This window comes from Homo sapiens, chromosome 17 (assembly GCF_000001405.40).
Source record: "Homo sapiens chromosome 17, GRCh38.p14 Primary Assembly".
Taxonomy (NCBI): Eukaryota; Metazoa; Chordata; class Mammalia; order Primates; family Hominidae; genus Homo; species Homo sapiens.
The window spans coordinates 15,746,956-15,767,453 of NC_000017.11; the positions used below are offsets into that span (position 1 = coordinate 15,746,956).

At 44.7% G+C, this 20,498-nt stretch overlaps 1 long non-coding RNA gene and 1 pseudogene across 7 annotated transcripts in view; one reads left to right on the plus strand and one right to left on the minus strand.

The window, feature by feature from the left end:
• The window catches only part of LOC105371559 (uncharacterized), a 19,961-nt gene extending 2,318 nt beyond the window's left edge, over positions 1–17,643 (minus strand). The window contains exons 1-5 of one of the 6 annotated variants that reach the window (XR_934268.3): positions 17,535–17,643; positions 17,041–17,167; positions 16,631–16,856; positions 14,477–14,889; positions 12,929–13,854 (exon numbers count right to left, since the gene is read on the minus strand). This is a non-coding gene — a long non-coding RNA (uncharacterized LOC105371559). Of the gene's footprint in view, positions 1–12,083; positions 12,291–12,927; positions 13,855–14,476; positions 14,890–16,630; positions 16,857–17,040 lie in introns of those variants that run through there. The other 5 variants (XR_007065635.1, XR_934264.4, XR_934266.4 and 2 more) reach the window with 5 other exon arrangements.
• Positions 17,644–17,747: 104 nt separating this feature from the next.
• CDRT15P2 (CDRT15 pseudogene 2) lies at positions 17,748–18,734 on the plus strand (annotated as a pseudogene). Its single transcript, NR_033865.1, has 3 exons — positions 17,748–18,012; positions 18,153–18,301; positions 18,578–18,734. The product of NR_033865.1 is annotated as a CDRT15 pseudogene 2 (transcript).
• The last annotated feature ends 1,764 nt before the right edge of the window (positions 18,735–20,498 follow it).

A 20,498-nucleotide genomic window follows, 5' to 3' on the forward strand; every position in this document is an offset into this window, starting at 1 on the left:
TATTGGTAATCGAACAAAGAAGCAGGTGGTGAGGACATGCAGATGTGGGGGTAGACAGATGATGACATGAGGATGTGGGGGTAGAAAGGTAGCAGTGCATCAAGCGTAGCTGTGACGGTTTAGCATATGCTCTGCTACTTGAGGTAAGGGAGAATAGATTCTTCTAATTCAAGATACAATCAATTTATGATCTTGGGAGAGCAAGAAGCAAGGGGCCAGCGAGTCTGGACACATTCCAGAGGCTACGAGGGGTTTTATTCCCTGAGCCCTGGGTGCTCTCCAAACCACAAGGGGTTTTATGCACTGGGCTTAGATTGTAGTGCAGCAGGGCAGCCTTCCACCCTTTGGCACAAAGCTTGGTGTTCCCTAGGCCACGAGGGGTTTTAGACCATGGACCCAGGACATGTTCCAAGACTCTTTTACATTATGTCAGACAAGCAAGCCCTGCCTCAGCCCTTCTACCAACACAATTCTAATATACATTACTGGACAGGCAGAGGATAACAGTTATGTGCATCTGGATAAAGATAGGTGGAGGAGGCTGGGCTTGGTGGCTCACGCCTGTAATCCCAGCACTTTGGGAGGTCAAGGTGGGTGGATCACCTGAGGTCAGGAGTTTGAGAGCAGCCTGAGCAACATGGAGAAACCCCGTCTCTACTGAAGATACAAAATTAGCCAGGCGTGGTGGTACATGGAGGCTGAGGCAGGAGAACTGCTTGAACCTGGGAGGCAAAGGTTGCAGTGAGCCAAGATCACGCCATTGCACTCCAGCCTGGGTAACAAGAGCAAAACTCCGTGTAAAAAAAAAAAAAAAAAAAAATATATATATATATATATATATATATATATATATATACACATAGACACACACACACACACAATATGTTCACAAATTAACAAATGAGCCATAAATTGAAAGAGATTAAAAATTAAAGAAGCTATTTCATTGAATATTATACTGGTCATCACTGATGTTTGCCAAAATGTAAAGATTTCAGTTTCTGGAACATGTATGTTAATAAATTATAGATAAGAATACATGTATTTATAAATATATTTCAACAGTTTCACTTCCTCAGAATAGTGTTACAACTCAAGTATCAAAGAGGCCAATTGGGTCATGAACACATAGACTCAATGTTTATAATCTAATCTTTGTGGAAAAAAAATGCTCAAAAACCTAGAGATGTGAGCAATACCAGTAAAAGTTCTACCATTTGTCAAGATTGTTTAAAATGAGAATTTCTATTTCCCTGGTTGGCTGTTACTTTTCTGAAAGCCTGAGGAGAGGAGAAGCTGTCAGTGGAGGTCCCTGAAGTTACCCAGGCCCAGGAGAGACACAGCATCAGCTGACAACTGCAGTAAATGCCACTGAAGACCCTCACGGGGAAGAGGCTGCAGAACCGTGTCTGCCATGCTCGTGTTTTAAATGCTGGCCAAAATGAGTCAAAACTTCTTTTCCTTTTTTAAATAGAAGCATTTTCAGGTACTCAAAATATGTCACACAAGACGAATTTATTATGTTCGCCCTATATCATTTCTTTCTTAAACAATTTAAGCAGGAGTTATTTCACATACTGTATTTGGCAATCAGCTTTTGCTATTTCGAACCACTGAAGACAATAAATTTGTTTTCTTCCTCTTTTCTGTTTCTTTCTTTCTTTCTTTTCTTTTTTTTTTTTTTTTTTTGCTCTTGTCGCCCAGGCTGGAGGGCAGTGGTGCGATCTCAGCTCACTGCAGCCTCTGCCCTCGCTCGCTGCATCCCTCCCTTCTGCAGGTAAGATGCCAATATTTACCCTACTGACCGTGGCCAGTTCTTGGTATTGCTCAAGTCCCCTGGGCCTTCAGACTGGCGGGTGACTTCAAGGGACCAACCACCCTGGGCCTCTCCTGGGACAAACACTTGCCTTCACCCACTATCGATGTCTTGCTCAGCCCTCAGAGGAGCGTGGTTGGCGTGGATTACTTCATGCCTTGATTCTGCCTTCCCGGAAACCACGGTGGCAGCAGGCTTGGATGTCACCAAGCCACCGTGTTTCATGCTATTTCTGGAAGTTCTCGCCTTTGTGGCCTCGGAAAGGAAGGCGATCTGGTGCTTTGGGGAAGGCCCTCGGGATGCTCCTCCAGATGGTCTTCTTCAGGCCTTTTGCTCAGCATTGGTCTGATCAGTTCTGCCAGCTCTGGGCCATGATCTCTTGGCACTGGCGCGGCTTTCCTTCAATAATTCCATAAACTCCAGACTTCGTGTCTTTTGCATGGAAAGCACGCGGTGCCCATTTCATCGACACCGCACCCCGGAGTCCAAACGTCAGCCCTGCGGGTGTTGGGTTTGTTGGGGACAATTTCGGGCTCAGGTGCAGGGGGCGCTTCCCCAGCGCGGGCGCGTCCTGGGCGCCATCTGAGGCCGTGGGCTCCTGGCAGGAGAACCTGGAGCTTTCAGATTCCCGGGAAGGATGCATTTCCCCCACTCTTGGGCACAAGCTGCCCTTTGCTGGCGTTGGGCACGGATCATGGCCTCGCAGAAGCCCGCGACAGCGTGGAGCAGGTGGTGCCCCTGCCCAGGACTCCTGGTGGGTGATGGCTCCGGGAGGCCTTGGCTGGGACAGAGCGGGGCCTCCGGGTCGGTCAGCGGCCCGAGCCCGGCTGCGGCTTTCGGAGGCTTGGGTTTGGAAGACACCGCCTGCCATCCCGCGGCGCCTCTCGGGGTCCGCTCCCCCGGACTGGCCCTGCCCACCGCGCGCGACTAGTAGCGGGCGGCCAGGAGTCAGTGGCAGGCGCGGCCGGTGGGATGCCGGGTAGGAGGCTGCCCTGGAGCCCGCTGGGCAGCGCCGACCCCTAAGGCAGCCGGGCGGGTGAGCGAGCAGAGGCGTGGGCGGCTGAGGGGCTGAAAGGCTGAGGGCCTGAGGCGGCTGAGGGGCTGAGGAGGCTGAGGGGCTGAGGGGCTGAGGAGGCTGAGGGGCTGAGGGGCTGAGGAGGCTGAGGAGGCTGAGGGGCTGAGGGCCTGAGGCGGCTGAGGGGCTGAGGGGCTGAGGCGGCTGAGGGGCTGAGGGGCTGAGGCGGCTGAGGGGCTGAGGGGCTGAGGGGCTGAGGCGGCTGAGGGGCTGAGGGGCTGAGGCGGCTGAGGGGCTGAGGGGCTGAGGGGCGGGCAGCCTGGCCGGTCCCTGCCGCAGGGTCCACCGGTCCCTGCCGCAGGGTCCACCGCACGTCACGTGGCCGAATGCCCCGGGCTGCTTTCTGTCTGGGCTGTTTTCTCACTGTGAACCTCGTGGGCTCCTGCTCGGTGTCCTTTCTTACTCTGTCTCTGTTTTTGCATTCTATTGGCAAGAATGTTATTTAGGATATTTTACTGATATAACTGAGGATGAACTGTGTTTTGCAGCATTTTGTTTTATTACGCGTTTTCTCCTAGATTTTGGTATCATTTTTACGCTGACTTGATTAAACATTTTGGAAACTTTCCTGGAACTGATAAATAGCTTTTATATGATCTTTTTCTTGAGGTAATAAAATAATTTACTTTGAAATGTCTCAGCCTAACAACTTTTGTGCTTTTGTTGTTTTGTGCAGAGGTGGGAAGACTCCTTTGCATTTTTGGTATCACTTCTGTGTTAATGATTTTGTTGTTTGTTTCGCAAAATCACTTAGTGATCCGTGTTTTCCAACTTAGAGTTAACATGCACCATTTTGCGACATAAAAAAATGTCTCGTATATCTCTTTGTATGTCTCTTTTCGTTTGTCATATTTGGAATTGTCTTTTTTTTTTTAATCATTAGTTTAAAGCAGGAATTTATTAAATATTCCAAAAAGACCGAAGTTTTACTTCATCTCCTAGGCATTCATTTTTCAGTGTGTTATTCACTGATTTCTCCACGTTCATTAATATTTGGAATAATTTATGTAAATTGATTATTGCTGTGTTACGAGCTTACGGAGCAACATTCTTTGTCTTCAGTATTTTAATGTATTTTTCTATTAAATATACTTCAGTCACTTATACCATATTTAGGATTATTTTCCTAATTCTAGACCTACTAATTATAAACTGGAATGCTGATAATTTTCCCTAAGCTTCAATTGTTTATGATTTATTCATTTATTTATGACAGATGGGCATAAAACTACTTTATTACAAAGATTTAATGATATATCGTGTAGAGATTTTATACTATGTGCTTGGACACAAACACTCTTAAATAATTGTTTATTTTTTCTACCTGCTTTTGACATAATGAAAGTGCATTTTAAATTTTTTAATTTTTTAATTTAGTTGTAACAGACTTTAGGATGTAATGGTCCCAGATTCTTTTGTTATCTGTTTTTTAGCCACATTGTTTATTCTGTTGTCATTATATAATATTTACACGCTGTATTAGTCTGCTCAGGCTGTTATAACAAAATACTATAAACAGTGCTTTCAACAACAGACATTTATTTTTCACAGCCCTGGAGGCTGGGAAGTCTGTGACCAAGACAATGGCTGATTTGGTTCTTGAACAGGCTTTCTGTCCTCTTCTTATAAGGGCATTAATTCCATCATAAGGACCCCACTCTCATGACCTCATGTAAACCTAATTACCTTCAAAGGCCCTATTTCCAAATCCCATCACACTGAGAGTTAGATCTTCAGCACATAAATTCTGGGGGAAACAAATGTTCATGCCATAACACACACTGCTGACCCTTTGTTTCCATTTCCGTAGTTGTTTAGTGTTATTATTTATAATATTTTGGAGGAATACCCTAATTATAATATGGGTACTTATTAATTTTGTAATACAAAATGCATTTATTAAGCAGTGAAAATGCTAATAAAGTCATATAGTAGTTGCTTCCTATACTATATATATCTTGCGATATTTCAGAAAGATTTTGCATAATATATGTAATGCTATCATTCAAACATCTTTAATAAGTTGGTCAGAAAGAGAAGAATGTTTTCCATCTTCAACCAAACTAAGGATACATTCCAGGTCCAAATCACCAAATACATGAACTTAGATTTAAATGTTTGTAGTCAGGCATTCAACTGTTTAATTACAGTCCACCCGGAACACACATTTTATTCTCAGTTCTCATATCAGCAGGGCATTGATAACGTGTATTTGTCTAATGGCAAGTCCAAGCATTAGCTTTTGATAGCATCTTAACCCAATTTGACATTTCTGTGTGTGCTTAAGTGTCCAGACAAGCATTCACCAATGCTTTTTCTGATGTTGGAAATGTTCTCTCTGCTACGAAATGTGTTAACCACTACCCACATGTGGCTTTTGAGAAGTTGAAAGGTAGCTAGTGTGACTAACCAAATTTTTATATTATTGTAATTAATTTAAATTTAAATGTAGTAGCCATGTGTGGCTATTGGACAACGTGCCTCTAGGTCATTATCACTGGTATCTAGATAGATGAGACAATTCACAGAAGCCTCACACTTAACCCCATTCTTCTTAATGTCAAAGCATGGGGCCTGCTACTTCATCTCTCTACACTTTTGAATTATCACTCATTTTTTACCCTAACATAAGTCAAGGTAGATATTATGCCAAAAATTACAGAAAAGTAGTGACAGGCCAGGCCTGGTGGCTGTAATCCCAGCACTTTGGGAGGCTGAGGTGGGTGGATCACGAGGTCAGGAGTTCGAGACCCACCTGACCAACATGGTGAAACTCCGTTTCTACTAAAAATACAAAAATTAGCCGGGCGTGATGGTGTCCACCTGTAATCCCAGCTACTCTGGAGGCTGAGGCAGGAGAATCCCTTGAACCTGGGAGGCAGAGGTTGCAGTGAGCTGAGATCACGCCACTGCACTCCAGCCTGGATGACAGAGTGAGATGCTGTCTCAAAAATAAAAAAGTAAAGAAAAAAGAAAACTAGTGACAAAATCAGTAACTTAGCAGTTTTCCTTGAACTCTTCGATGTGGTCCAGTAAATAATCTTGTGGGGTTTTTTGTTTGTTTTTTGCTTTTTTTTTTTTTTTTTTTTTGGACAGAGTCTGGCTCTGTCACCCAGGCTGGAGTGCAATGGCGTGATCTTGGTTCACTGCAACCTCTGCCTCCTGGGTTCAGATGATTCTCCTGCCTCAGCCTCCCGAGTAGCTGGGATTACATAATCTTGTGTTTTTACTATGATCTCTATATGTTGATTTTATTATCTTTAAAATGATAACGCTAGGAAGACCTACTTCATATTATTTTTTTTTTTTAAGACATGGTCCCACTCTGGCACCCAGGCTGGAGTGCATTGGTCCTAACAGGGCTCACTGCAGCCTCAACCTTTCAGGTTGCAGTGATACTCCCATCTCAGCCTCCCAAGGAGTTGGGACTACGGCTGGGTGCCACCAAGCCCGGCTAATTTTTAGATTGTTTTATAGAGACAGGGTTTCGCCATGGTGTCCAGGCTGATCTCCAATTCCTGAGCTCAAGAGATCTGCCCACCTTGGCCTCCAAAAGTGCCGGGATTACAAATGTGAGCCATCGTCCCCCGCCCTCTATAATTTTAAATTAGGCAACTGAAGTAATGCATACAGCATACCATATCATGTTTTATAAAGCATAAAGTCAGGATAATAAGGTGGTTAAGAGCATGAGCTCAGAGGTGAAATCATGCTGGAAACAGTTACTTTTGGTAAGAAGAGCAACACTTGGAACAGAAGATAAAATGATCCTTGAATTATTTGCAATGTTTTCATTTTTACAAAAATGTTTATGTTTGCATTTAATGTGAAGGGGAAATTTTAAAAGAACTATTTTAAATAATACAAAATATTTATATCATCACTTTTTTTTTTTTTTTTGAGACACAGTCTCGCTCTGTCACCCGGTTGGAGTGCAGTGGCACGATCTCAACTCACTACAACCTCCACCTCCTGGGTTCAAGCGATTCTCCTGCCTCAGCCTCCCGAGTAGCTGGGATTACAGGCGCCCACCACCACGCCTACCTAATTTTTGTATTTTTAGTAGAGATGGGGTTTTGCCATGTTGGCCAGGCTAGTCTCAAACTCGTGACCTCAGGTGATCTGCCACCTTGGCCTCCCAATGTGCTGGGTTTACAGGTGTGAGCAACCATGCCCGGCCTATCATTACCTCTTTGTTTATTAAAGGGTTACATTAAAATGAGGATTTAAGATATCATTTAAATTATTCAAATTGTTATTCAAAATTTGAGAAGAAAATACTGGGTTACAAAATAGGCATTATTCGTAAGTTCTGTGTCCTGCTCTGAGCATAAGTGGTCTGATATTAGGAAAGTCAATAATTACCTTAGTAGTACTTTCTTTTCAATTACCATAAATAAATAATGTAATTACATGTATCATTTAATCATTACATGTGGTAAGTCAGTGACACACACACACACACACACACACACACACACTTACACACACAGAGTGAATTTACCAGATGCATCCCATCAGTCTGGCAAAACGCCCATGATTAATAAAATATGTGTGGAGACATATTGGTCCCTACTCTTCAAAGTAAAATTCAAGTGTATTATCTTTACCTTTGAAACTGAAAGTAAGGTAATATTCTAACTTTTGAAGGGATAATCATTCTAAGTTTTAACTATGAGAATATTTCTATCATTCACTTACCTATTTCACAATTCTGAGACAGCCTGAAGCAAAATGAACAAGAATAAACCATATGTATTAACATATATTACCTTATATAAAAATTATTTTGACTGTACTTCTGCCCTTTATTAAGACATATGCCAACTAAATATTATTTTAAAGGAGCTATAGATGATGATGAAATAATTTTCAAGTACAGTTTTTAAAAAAGCTACATCTACTCTTGCTGCTCCTGTCACAGCCTAGATTTATAGCTAATTTTCATGAGTTACAGTTTTGTATTACACATCCCCCCACCATGCCACTTCCCAGCTTTTAAAAGAACTTAATGATTTTTAATAGGAATGTAGACAAAGTATTGCTGCCTCTTATCAGAATTTACTGGCACCTTTGCCCACAAATTGGAGGTAAAATATGTCACTGTGACCCTTATTGGTATCCCTGATGTGTGACATCAATTGCACATTTTCTTTCCTCTGATTTTATGTGTATGTTTTGTAGATCAGATAAACCTGGGACATGTTGTCCAGGCACGGTGGCTCATGCCTGTAATCCCAGCTATTCGGGAGGCTGAGGCAGGAGAATGGCTTGAACCTGAGAGGTGGAGGTTGCAGTGAGCCAAGATTGCGCCATTGCACTCTAGCCTGGGGGAGAAGAGCAAAACTCCGTCTCAAAAAAAACAAACCTGGGACATGTCAAAATTTCTCTAATGAAATACTTGTGTTTACCTAAAATAAATTCCTATTAGAACAATAAAAGTGAGAAACAAAACAAACGCAAAATGGAAACAATTTGTATAACCTGGCAAAAGACAGTAACATTAACCTATATTTAATGAACACATCAAAACTCAAACCAATAATTTATCATTGTAGTAAAAATATACAACAGAAATTATGAGATGGTTTCGTCAGTGAAAAGCACTGTGTATACAATCATTCCCTAGATGACTTCATATTTCTCTAGCCCAATTCTAATAATTTGCTCATAATAGTATAAATGAAACTGTTTTCCAAATAATATTAATGTCTACCTTCGCCTATCACCATTGAGTCAATATTTGTGTGATTCTATAAAATTTAGAATGTCTAGAAGGATGCCTTTGCTTTTGCAATACAAAAAATGGCCTAACACAGATATAGATGATAAAGATATAGATAGATAGGGGGTTGCATTTTGAAATTTATTTCTTCAAGGGACTTATTTCAAGTTTGAAATTATTCTGGTTTTAAAATTAACAAATGATAAACCTTATAGAATGATAACACAATTGTACATGTTATAAGGTCACAGGGTATATCATCAAATGATGAACCAATCATTTTGTGTTGAGGTTTGGTAGTATTTATTTATTTTTTATTTATTTATATATTTTTTTTTTACTGAGACTTCAATTTGAGAACAGTTTTTGTACGGAGGGGCCCTACCACTGCCGCTTACTGGGGCTGTTCTCAGACTGTGAGATTCTGCCCACACCAAGCCATGATGAGAGTTTTATTCCTCATACTGCTCTCAGTACTTGTTTGCATCCCATAATATCCCCCCAAAAGTTCATTTTTCATGCTGTTTGTTATTCGCTTACATTTAATACATGTATCAAAAAGTCATTTTTTTTTTTTTGAGACGGAGTTTCGCTCTTTTTGCCCTGCCTAGAGTGCAATGGCGCGATATCGGCTCACCACAACCTCCGCCTCCTGGGTTCAAGCAACTCTCCTGCCTCAGCCTCCCAAGTAGCTGGGAATACAGGTGCCCGCCACCACGCCCGGCTAATTTTGTATTTTTAGTAGAGACAGTGTTTCATTATGTTGTGGCCAAACTCATCCACTGTTATATAGAAAATAGCCTAGAGAAGGAAAGCTCCAAGTGCAAGGAAAATCTGCATTATCAAAGCAGGCTAAGCAGGGAAGACCATTTATTTTCCCAAAAGATTCTATTCTGTGGTCTTCCCTTCATAGACACACATCCCACTGTCAGATGCAAATCCTAGAGCTAGAAATGGGGCATTCAAGGTAGACAGAGCTCCTGGGAACAGCACGTTTGCAGAGATGGGAAGTGACCCTCCCACTGATTTTGGTTTCTCCATGGCCACGGGCAAAGCCTGCCTGCTCTGCATCCAGGGATCTTGGTCAGGTGTTGGAATCGGTGGGTGGATTGCCAGTACGTTTGCACTGTGTCCTAGAGAGCCTCTATGCATTTCAACTCTGATTCTCCTTCACCATCTACGTGCAGCCCACAACCGCAGGACCCCACCCCTGGCCCTGAATCTCCCATGTCCTGGCGCCAAGCAGGCGAGTCAGCCTAGGAGGAGGCAGGGCTCCCGGAAGCCAAGCCCATGCTGGGATGGTGAGAAACAACTTTCCTATGCAAGGAGGTTCCTGAGCACCCGCTGATGATCAAGCCGGAGCCCCCTCACCTCCCCGAAGTGTGGTGAAGGAAAGACAGGCCGGAAAGAGGCGGCAGTCTTCACCTGCTGTGGTTGAGTTTCTCACTCATGCCAAGTTTTACATAAGCTGGGGACCATGTGCTTCAAGGCTAGAGGTCTTGGCGGGCCCAGGGCCTTGGAGGGGCCTGGATGACCAAGGGGTCTGAGACTTAGGCCCTGGCTCTGCATGGGGAATCTTGGGAAGGTTGGAAGCCCACAGCCCCTACTGAGAAAGGAGCCACGGGCCAGATCTTTTGCACAAATCCCACCTGTGCTCCTTGACCGCCCCTCCCCACCGGGGCCACGGTGACCAGGAGGCAGAAGCCTCCATCCGTTCACAGGACCAGCATCCTGGGAGGACCCTGGCCTGAGCGAGCTGCTGCAGGGGACCCTCATGCTGGATGGTTGGCCACTCGGCACCCTTTTCTCTGTGGAGCAGGGATGACATTTGAGAGCCACCAAAGATGGGCAGGAAAAACAAAGGCCACCACAAAGGAAGCTGAAGGCAGAAAGAGATGCAGAGAAAGTGGGAGAAACTCGGCTGTGCTTTGTGGGGGCCCTGCAGGGACATCGGCTCCTGAAGGGATGAGAGAAAGAGTCCCCTGAACTTTGACACTCTGTTCTTCTCAAGGCCTGGCCAGCCCTGTGGCTCCTTAGAGGAATCTGGGTGCCTTCTGTCCCTAGTACCTGACAAGCCCCAGGTGAGAAGACCTGAGTTCACCTGCGCTGCCACGTGTAACCTGATGGCCCTGGCACCCTCGCAGGGTTTGAATAGCTGCCCTTTCCACCTGTTTCCCGGATTTTCCACACCACCCAGAGGCTCATATTCAACCCCACAGCCTACAAGTCAGCCAGGGGCCTTTGGCCACATGTACTGATGATGAGAATCACTGGATTGTAAGCTGTAAAAGCACAAGGATGGTGTTTTGTTCCCCGCTACCCCCTGCACCTGAGGCCCAGCGAGGATTGCTGCTCGGATGAAGGAGAGCGAGTGTTCATGGAGCTCTTTGCAGAAGCCACGGGAATCCCTTCCTGTGCCTTCTCAGGTTTAGTTCTCAGACAGCCCCACTTTCCAGATGAGGAAACGGAGGCTAAGAAAGGAGAATAAACTTGTCCAGAATCAGTGGTGAGGCTGGTATTTGAACCCCATCCTGTTGGACTCAACACTTCCTCTGAAGAGACAGCATAAGGGAGCTGCCTACTTCTGGCTTCGGGAACTGGCAGAGAGGAGCAGAGCTGGGCCAGACGCGTCACCTCCCAAGCTCTGCTGCACCCAAGGGTTCCCAGGGTCCTCTTCCTCCATTTGGCTCTTTTCTTCTCTGGACTCTCCCACCTTCGAGGATTGGACTCCTTGCAGGGAGCGCAAAGCAGAGAACAGAGGAGGCCCATCTGAGGAGAGAGTGCTGGAGCAGATGGGGCACACAGAGAGCCCCCAAACCTTAGCCTCACCTGGAGAGTGGCTCCCTGCAAGCTCAGCCCCTGTGTGCCCAGAAGTGACATAGGCATTCAGAAAAAGGGACTGAGGGAGGAAAGAAGGAGCCATTCCTCTTCCCAGGGGCGCCTGCCCTGGGTTCCTGAGGGAGGCTCCATGTTTACATCTCCAAAGGCCAGTCCCAAACACGCCAGAGTGCAATGCCCTCCCTCAGACCCAGGGCCATCCTCGGAGCAGCCGGGAGGCAGCCTGTCCACTCTTACCACAGGCAGGTCGCCCAGGCAGCCTCCTCTTAGAGCTCCTGAATTCTGGAGCATCAAATAGAAATGTGAAAAACAGGCTGGGCATGGTGGCTCACACCTGTATTCCCAGCACTTTGGGAGGCTGAGGCGGGCAGATCATTTGAGATCAGGAGTTTGAGACCAACCTGGCCAACACAGTGAGACCCTGTCTCTACTAAAAATACAAGTAAATAAGCCAAGCATGGTGGTCCACACCTGCAGTCCCAGTTACCTGGGAGGCTGAGGCAGGAGAATCATTTGCATCCAGGAGATAGAAGTTGCAGTGAGCTGAGATCGCGCCGCTGCACTCCAGCCTGGGCGACAGAGTGAGACTCCGTGTAAAAAAAAAAATGAGAGAGAAAATTAATGTGACAAAATGTTAACAATGGGTGAATGTAGGTAAGAGTATGTGGCAGGGTGTTTTTTCTTCTTGCAAATTTTGTGTAGGTTTGACGTTACCTCAGAATAGCAAATATAAGAATGATTCCTGCAGACACACGAGTGATTTCAGCTGTTCACAGGGCTCAGGCAGGAAGCAGATCTCTTGCCCTCCCTCTGATCCAGGTCACTTAGTCCAGTCCCTGAAAGCAGTGGATGGACAACCATGCCACCCTCTTTCTTCAAATACACCTTATTTTGTATCCTGCCCTTTTTGTGTAGCATTAGATCATGAGCATTTTCCTCTGCTATAAATGTCCCCTCAAATATGTTGTTTCTTGTGACTCCCTAGTGTTCTACCCACGATTTCCTCGGCTGCTCCACCTTGGTGGAATTCAGTGATTCTTCTGCCTTTTCACCATTGTAAGTGATGCTTTGATGAACAGCTTTGTAGGTTCATCTGTGCTGCACCTCTGACCAGTCTCTTCTGGAAGAGTCTAACGAAGGAGACAGAGGCATGGACCACTGGCTTTTGAAGGCATTCGGTGGGTCCTGCCACGCCGCCTTCCAGCATTCCAGAAAGGTGGTCCCAGTGAACAACTCACCAGGGCGGGGCCCCACTCCACGGCACCCCAGCAAGGCCAGCATTCGAGACCAGCCTGACCAACATGGTGAAACCCCGTGTCTACTAAAAATGCAAAAATTAGCCGGGCATGGTGGCGGGTGCCTACAATCTCAGCTGCTCAGGAGACTGAGGCAGGAGAATTGCTGGAACCTGGGAGGTGGAGGCTGCAGTGAGCCGAGATCACTCCATTGCACTCCAGCCCAGGTGACAACAGTGAGACTGCATCTCAAAAAAAAAAAAAATTAGAATAATCTTGTACATGTTATTAACTTTAATTTTGCATGTAACTTTTTTAAAATGATTAAACTTTTCTCAGCATATTCTCATCATTAAATATTATTTAAAACATTATTTTAAGGTTAGATAGTATTTTATCATATAAATAATTCATATTTACTAGTCCCCTGTTGTTGAACATATATGTATTATTGAACCTTTATGTTCTTTCCAGTCTTTCAATATTCAAATACTTTTTTCAACTCTTTCTTATTACTTACTTAGGAAAAATTTCTAGATGTTGAATTACTGAGTCAGAGTATAAATATTTTAAAGACTTCTAACATATTCAGCCAGATTGCCCTTCAGAAATATTATACCAATTTGTTCCAGCAGTCATGAGAACACACACTTCTCTGAGCTCTTGCCAGCACTTGATATTATATTGTTATTGCCTTCCAATCTGTTAATCATTTCTTTTTCCTTCTTTTTACCCTTTTTGCTTGGAAATATCTTCCCTAGCCCAAGATCAAATAAACGATAACTTTTCTCATTTAAAAAAATAATTATTTAATCAGTCTAGAATTTGGTTTTTGATATAAGAATCGTGATGATTGTATGATATTCTGCCCACCAACCAGAGCAGTGCTGGAGAGGTGCAGAGATGGCCTCCTGTTTCCTGTTTCCTCCAAGTTCTGGGTCTGTGATTTAGGGATCTGCTGCTGAGAGAGGTTCAAAACATCTTCCCCACCTTATTTCATGGACTGTCATTGTTTCAAGAAGCAAATTATACCATCAGCTCCAGGAAGATTTTCTCCACTGCTTCATCTGTTTTAAGATCAGTCCATTGCAACCTGATTCTGCATTCTGCCATCTGATGGGCTTCGTGGTGGGTCATGTGAGGAGTTTCTATTTTTGTCTGTGTTCTAAATTTGCAGGTATTTTATTGAAAGTATAAAAGTAATTTTAATAGAAGTTACTAGCCAGGCTTTGCATTAGGTTTTAATATCTTGTAGAATAAGAATAAGATTATTTTCTCTTTTTTTGCTTTAAGATTCCTCATTACACTTTTTTTTTTTTTTTTTTTGAGACGGAGTCTCGCTCTGTCACCCAGGCTGGAGTGCAGTGGCACCATCTCAGCCCACTGCAAGCTCCGCCTCCCAGGTTCACGCCATTCTCCTGCCTCAGCCTCCTGAGTAGCTGGGACTACAGGCACCCGCCACCATGCCCCTCCTCCCAAAGTGCTGGGATTACAGGCGTGAGCCACTGCGCCCGGCCTAGATTCCTCATTACTCTTTTGCATTATGTTTAATCTCCCATGTGGCCCTTTTTGAAGTTCTTCCCTAGTCACTCATCTCTCTCTTTTATTATATTTATATATTTATTATATTCATTTATTAATTATTTTGATTGGCATTTGCATTATATGTATTAACGAGAAGTAATTTTGCATCTTAAAAATGTCTTATTTTTTCCTCATCATAAAATTACATGTTCATTACAGAAGATTTAGAAAATACAGAAAAGTATAAAAAAGAAAAGTATTACCTTTAATCTTACCACTTGGAGGAAAAAAACTGCAAACATTTTGCTGTCTGTCCTTTCAGATTTTTTCTTAGTTTATACATGTTTGAGCATGCATAAAACTTGCATTGATATGATTATGATATTTCATCTTCCTATCCAGAAGAATAGAGTATGTCTTTCTACATTCCATTACAAAGAACCAGTTGGATTCATTTATTTATTCCACTGTTAATCTGTTTTGATTAATTCTTGTCTCCTACTTCTTGGACATTTCTTTGATTTCTCACTAGTTTCTTGAGTAAAATTGTTTGTTCGTTTCACTTTCTTCTTTCTTGATTGATAATGAAAGCATTTAAAGATATGAATTTGACTTTTCTTGTGGCTTTGGCTAAATAGAGACAATAAAATCTAGAAACTTCTGAAATAAATTAAACCTAATTTAGAGAAAAAAGGAAAGTGTACATTTTCCATAGAGTACAAGGCACAACATAAATGTTTAAAATTAAGCTGTTATTAATATTATAAAATCAAGTTACTATTCATATATCAATATCTTATTGCATGCTAGCTAGAATTATCAAATACTAACAGCAGGACAAAAAAGTCCTCACTAGTAATTTTAGGTGAGAGTTTGAGGTAAAGATGTGGGCATGATATCACATAGGGTTGCTTTCATATCTATCAAGACCTTAGGTCTGTGATTTTGTGCTTTCTTATATGCACAGAAACTGATTTGTAATTGCAGTGAACTTGTAACATACTAACCCTCCTGCCTTTTTACATTACCATAGAAAATGCAAAACCCAAACCTCCTAATCAAACTGATAGCTTCTTTTATCTCTACCTCAGAATATCAACTATAATGATATATATAATTTTGGGTCTGCCACAGGGACAGAGTCCTCATGGAGAACCTCTGCTAGAGCAGGGTAGAAGTGAAATGTGGGGTTGGAGCCCCCATACAGGGTCTCCGCTGGGGCACTGCCTAGCAGAGCTGTGAGAAGAGGGCCACCATCCTCCAGACTCCTGAATGGTAGATCCATCAACAGCTGTACCATGTGCCTGGAAAAGCTGCAGTCACTCAGTGCCAGCCTGTAAAAACAGCCAAAGGGGCTATGCCAGCAGTGCCGCAGGGACAGAGCTGCCCAAGGCCTTGGGAGCACACATCAGAATGCCCTGGATGTGAGATATGGAGTCAAAGGAGATAATGTTGGAGCTTTAAGATTTAATGACTCCCCTACCAGATTCTGGACTTGCATGAGGCCCATTGGCCCCTTTGTTTTGGCCAATTTCTCCCGTTTGGAATGGGAACATTTACCCAATGCCTGTACCCGCATTGCATCTTGGAAGTCACTAACTTGCTTTTGATTTTACAGGCTCGTAAGTGGAAGGGACTTGCCTTGTCTCAGATGAGACTTTGAACTTGGACTTTTGGGTTAATGCTGGAATGAGTTAAGACTTTGGGGGACTGTTGGGAAGACATAATTGGTTTTGAAATGTGAAAAGGGCATGAGATTTGGGAGGGACCAGTGTCAGAATGATATGGTTTGGCTCTGTGTCCCCAACCAAATCTCATCTTGAATTTTAATCCCCATGTGTCAAGGGAGGGACCTGGTGGGAGGTGATTGGATCATGGGGGTGGTTTGCCTCATGCTCTTCTCATGATAGTAAGTGAGTTTTCATGAGGTCTGATGGATTCATAAGTGGCAGTTTCCCCTGCTCTCCCCTCTCTCCTGCTGCCTTGTGAAGAAATTGCCTGCTTCCCCTTTGCCTTCCATCATGATTGTAAGTTTCCTGAGGCCTTCGTAGCCATGCAGAACTGTGAGCCAATTAAACCTCTTTTGCTTATATATCACCCAGTCTCAGGTATTCTTTAGAGCAGTGTGAAAATGAACTAGTATACGTGAATTCAAATGATAATACTTAAGAGACTCATGTCCAAAAGATAACAGGAGCAGTTTTAGAACAAAACTATAATGAAGGATCTAAAGTGCTGTACTGGGTTCTCTTGACTTACCCAGTGTGCAATGTTATGACCTTGGGCAGGCCCGTTTACACTGTGCAATGTGGAATTCAAATGCGATGGTGGATGGAACCTTGTCCTGAACCTAATTCCATGGGAAGCATTTAACATTTCATCATGACATATGTTTGTTGTAGGCATTTGGTACATACCTTTTATTACCTCATGGAAGTATTCTGCTAAGAGGGGTCTGGTTTGTCTGTGGTTTTTGGTTTGTTTGCTTGCTTGTTTTTTAGAGAGACAGGGTCTCATTCTGTCACCTCAGCTGGAATTCAGTGTTGTGATCCTCACCCACTGCAGCCTTCAACTCCTGAGTTCAAGCGATCCTCCCACCTCAGCCTCTTGAGTAGCTGGGACTGCAGGCACATGCCACCATGCCTGTTAAATTTTTTAATTTTTTTTTTCAGAATGGGGGTCTCACTCCATTGCCCAAGCTGGTCTCAAACTGTTAGCCTCTAGTGATCCTCCCACCTTGGGCTCCCAAAGAGCTGGGATTACAGGTGTGAGCCACTGTACCCAGGCAAAAGATAACTTTGGAACACCACCTGAGAATGTTACTTACAATGAATCCTGTCCTCATTCTCATTTACTTATTTGGATGGAGTTTCCTGAAATTTGTCTCACTATCATCTAGGATCCTTTTTCTTTCTCCAACTGGGAGATTGTGTCTGGTTTGGAAACTGCAAGCCCTGTTCAGGAAAAGGGAAAAGACCCAAGGCACACACCCAGTCCCCAGGTGATCATCAGGCCCAGGTGAAAACTCAGGCCTTAGGTGCACCTCTGGCCTCAGGTGGACACCCAGGCCCCAGGTGATCACCAGTCCCCAGGTGGACACAAGGCCTTAGGTGAACAACAAGACCCAGTAGGCCATCAGGCCCCAGCTGGATACAGTCCCCAGGTGAACACAAGGCCCCCAGAGGGACATAGGCCAAGGCAGTCATCAGGCCCTAGGTGGACATCAGGCCTGAGGACGACATCTGGCCCCTGGTGAACATCAGGCACAGGTGTCCAAGCAGACCCTGGGTGGACATAACTGTGTACGGGTCAGGAGATGACCTGAGGGGAGGGTGAGTAGTCAGCAGCCCAGTGGAGTCCTGAGTAGGTCTTATGGAAGGAAGGGGCCTAGGGGACAGAACCGTAAAGAAGCGACCTCACTTCCTCGATGATGACACACACGAACAGAACTTAGAACTCTGGTAACCAGGCACCCATATCCTAGAGTCAGCGCTGTAACCAGCTCACTTTGTGGGAGACGCTCAAGAGAGCAAGATGTTCTCGTGTTGCTTCCCCACTTCGAGAGGTTGCTGCTTCAGGAATGGAGGGAGTGAGAGCCTTTTCCGACAATGCCGAAGAAGGCTCATCCCTCACCCCAGACGCCTGTGGCCCTTTGTAAGAAGGCGCACCCAGGTACCACAGGACAGCCCGGGGCAGGCCCTAGCTGGCCAGGCCACACCATAGATCCCATCGGGGCTGCCTCTGTACATTGTCCTTGTCCAGGAGGAGATTCGGGAGCCCATGGAGGCACAGACACATGGTGAGGTGGCTGCAGCCTGGAAGACTTTGCGGGGGCAGTGCTTTTGGGGTGGAATTCCTTTGAATTCAGTGAGGTTGTCTCTGTGTTTGGAAATTCCAGTGGAAAGTGACTGATGCTGGTGACCCTTTCTCCTTTTTCAGCTCCTGGTCCATACGCAGACATAGCAGCACTTGCGGCACCGGCTGTCGAGCCAAAGCCAGCATGGGAAGAGCCCCCTCCAGAGAGAGCGCTGGAGGTGGAGGGAGCTCCAGCCAAGGACCAGCCCAGCCAGGAGCTGCCTGAAATCATGGCACCTACTGTAGCCACTGGCCTTAATGCTGGAGCTGAAAACGTGGCTGGAGAGAGAAGTGGGAGGGAGGGGGTGACAAGCACAGCCCCAGCCAGCAGATCCCATGCTGCCCCTAGTCCTGGGCATGGTGGCAAACATGGAGGCGGAGACCAGGGCATTCAGACTGGACTCCTGTACCTCGCTGGAGAGAGGCTTCTCTCATTCACTAGAACCACAGCCCTGCTGCTGCAGGGCCTGTTTATTGTGCTAATGCTGGTGGGGTATATCTCTGTGCAGGTGGTGCTCAAGAGCATTAAAACAAGGCTGGGAAGAAGAGTTCCAGCAGCTCCTCCTGCTCTCAGACGCAATCTTCTCCTCCAGGCATGGATGTGTGTCTGCAACTGGGCATCCAGGCTGTTTGCCCCCTAATGTGCTGCCCCGAACGGGCTCTTAACAGGTGGGCAGGGGTTGAGGGGACCAGGAGGTGGCTCCAAAGGGTACAGCAAGGAAAGCTTTTAAAGACAGCTGTTGTGCTCCAGGCTCTCCATGCCACCACCTGCCCTAGCATTTATTAATAGTGTTAGAATTACAAGTTTATGAAATGAAATATAAATAAAGTTTGATTTCTGAAACTTCTCACCTTTTTGAACTCCCTAATGTTAGATGGTGTTTTTGAGGCTATCCTGAAAATCTCGGATAGTTGTGTCTTTTGTTGTGGTTGTTTGTGTGGCTGAATTACCATCGAGTCATCTGTTATTGGAAACTTTTCAGGTATGGCTTTTAGAAGACCTTGACCCACTCTTGCCTGTTTTGACTCTCTGGTTTATTGTGGAAAGAGGGATGATGTAGGCTCATGTCTCCGGCAGATCAATCACCTTTTGCCATCAAGGATTTGGCATCAGAGTTTCCAAGAATTATGTGTGCAAATTGACATGCTGGTACTTTAGCTAATCTGGGTGTCAAAACAGAATGCCATAGACTAGGTGTAGCATAGAAAATTGATTTCTCACAGTTCTGGAGATGGTAAAATCCAAGGTCAAATGGTCAGCAGATTCCGTGTCTGCAGAGGGCTGGCTTCCTGGTTCATAGACAGCCATCTTTTTACTGTGTCTTTACATGACAGAAGGGGTGAGGGAGCTCTCTGCAGTCCCTTTGATAGGGACACCAATTCCATTCATGAGGTCCCTGCCTTCATGAACTGAATCACCTTCCAAGGCCCCACCCCCAAATACCATCACATAGAATCCAATGCATGAATTTGAGGAGGACAATAACATTTGCTTTATAGAATCAGGTCACCCCGAGCCATATGCACTCACAGGAAATCTATAATCTTCTATTAAGTATTTGCTGGTCCCCTCTGGGGATTGTCTAAACAGAATTGTCTAAACAAAAATTTAGACAATTTTTGTTTTCTTTAAGAAAAATGCTCTTTCATGTGATCCATGGTTTATTCATAGAAAGCACTGTGAGTTCACACACTTGCTAAAAAGAAGGACAATTGCGATACAAAAATGAGAGTGACCTCCCTCTCTCTCTCTCTCTCTTTTTAACCAACCAACTGGGCTGAGACATTGTAGGGACCCTTGGCTGGGCAGTAGGACTTGAGTAGCTACATACGGCAAATACAACTTCTTGCTCAGTTTGGAGTAGAAAAGGTGACAGTTTGTCAACAAAAGAAAAAGTAAAGCAGATGGAGAAGTTCTTAGTTCGCATTCTAGCTATACCACCTCTTCCTTATCAAAGCCCACCCCCACCTCAGGATCTAACATGTAAAAGAGTAAACACAAAGGCACTGGTAACCAACTGACTCTTCTGAATGCCCTTGCTATCTCCTACAACAATTCCAGGCTGAGCATAGGGGTCAGGAAGGTAGCAGGAACATGATGATACACTGTGGAGGTCAGCCAGGGCTAAGACAGGGCTGCTCATTAGGGCTAGAAATTAAGAAGGGAGAGGCTAAGTGCAGACCAGCCCTAGCCTCCAAGTCAGCATGCAATGAGACTGTGACAAAAGCAGGCAGAGGAAGCTTGACGTAGAAAGGCAGGGGAAGAAAGCAAGTACGGGGCGAGAAGGGAAATGTGCAGTGAAAGCAGCCAATCTGATGGCAGAGGGAGACCGGTGCTTAGAAGCTTGTTTGGTGAGAGGGAATGAATAGAGGAGGCACAGAAATGGGGAACAAACATTTAACTAGTGAGAGAGATTTAAGACGAATGGG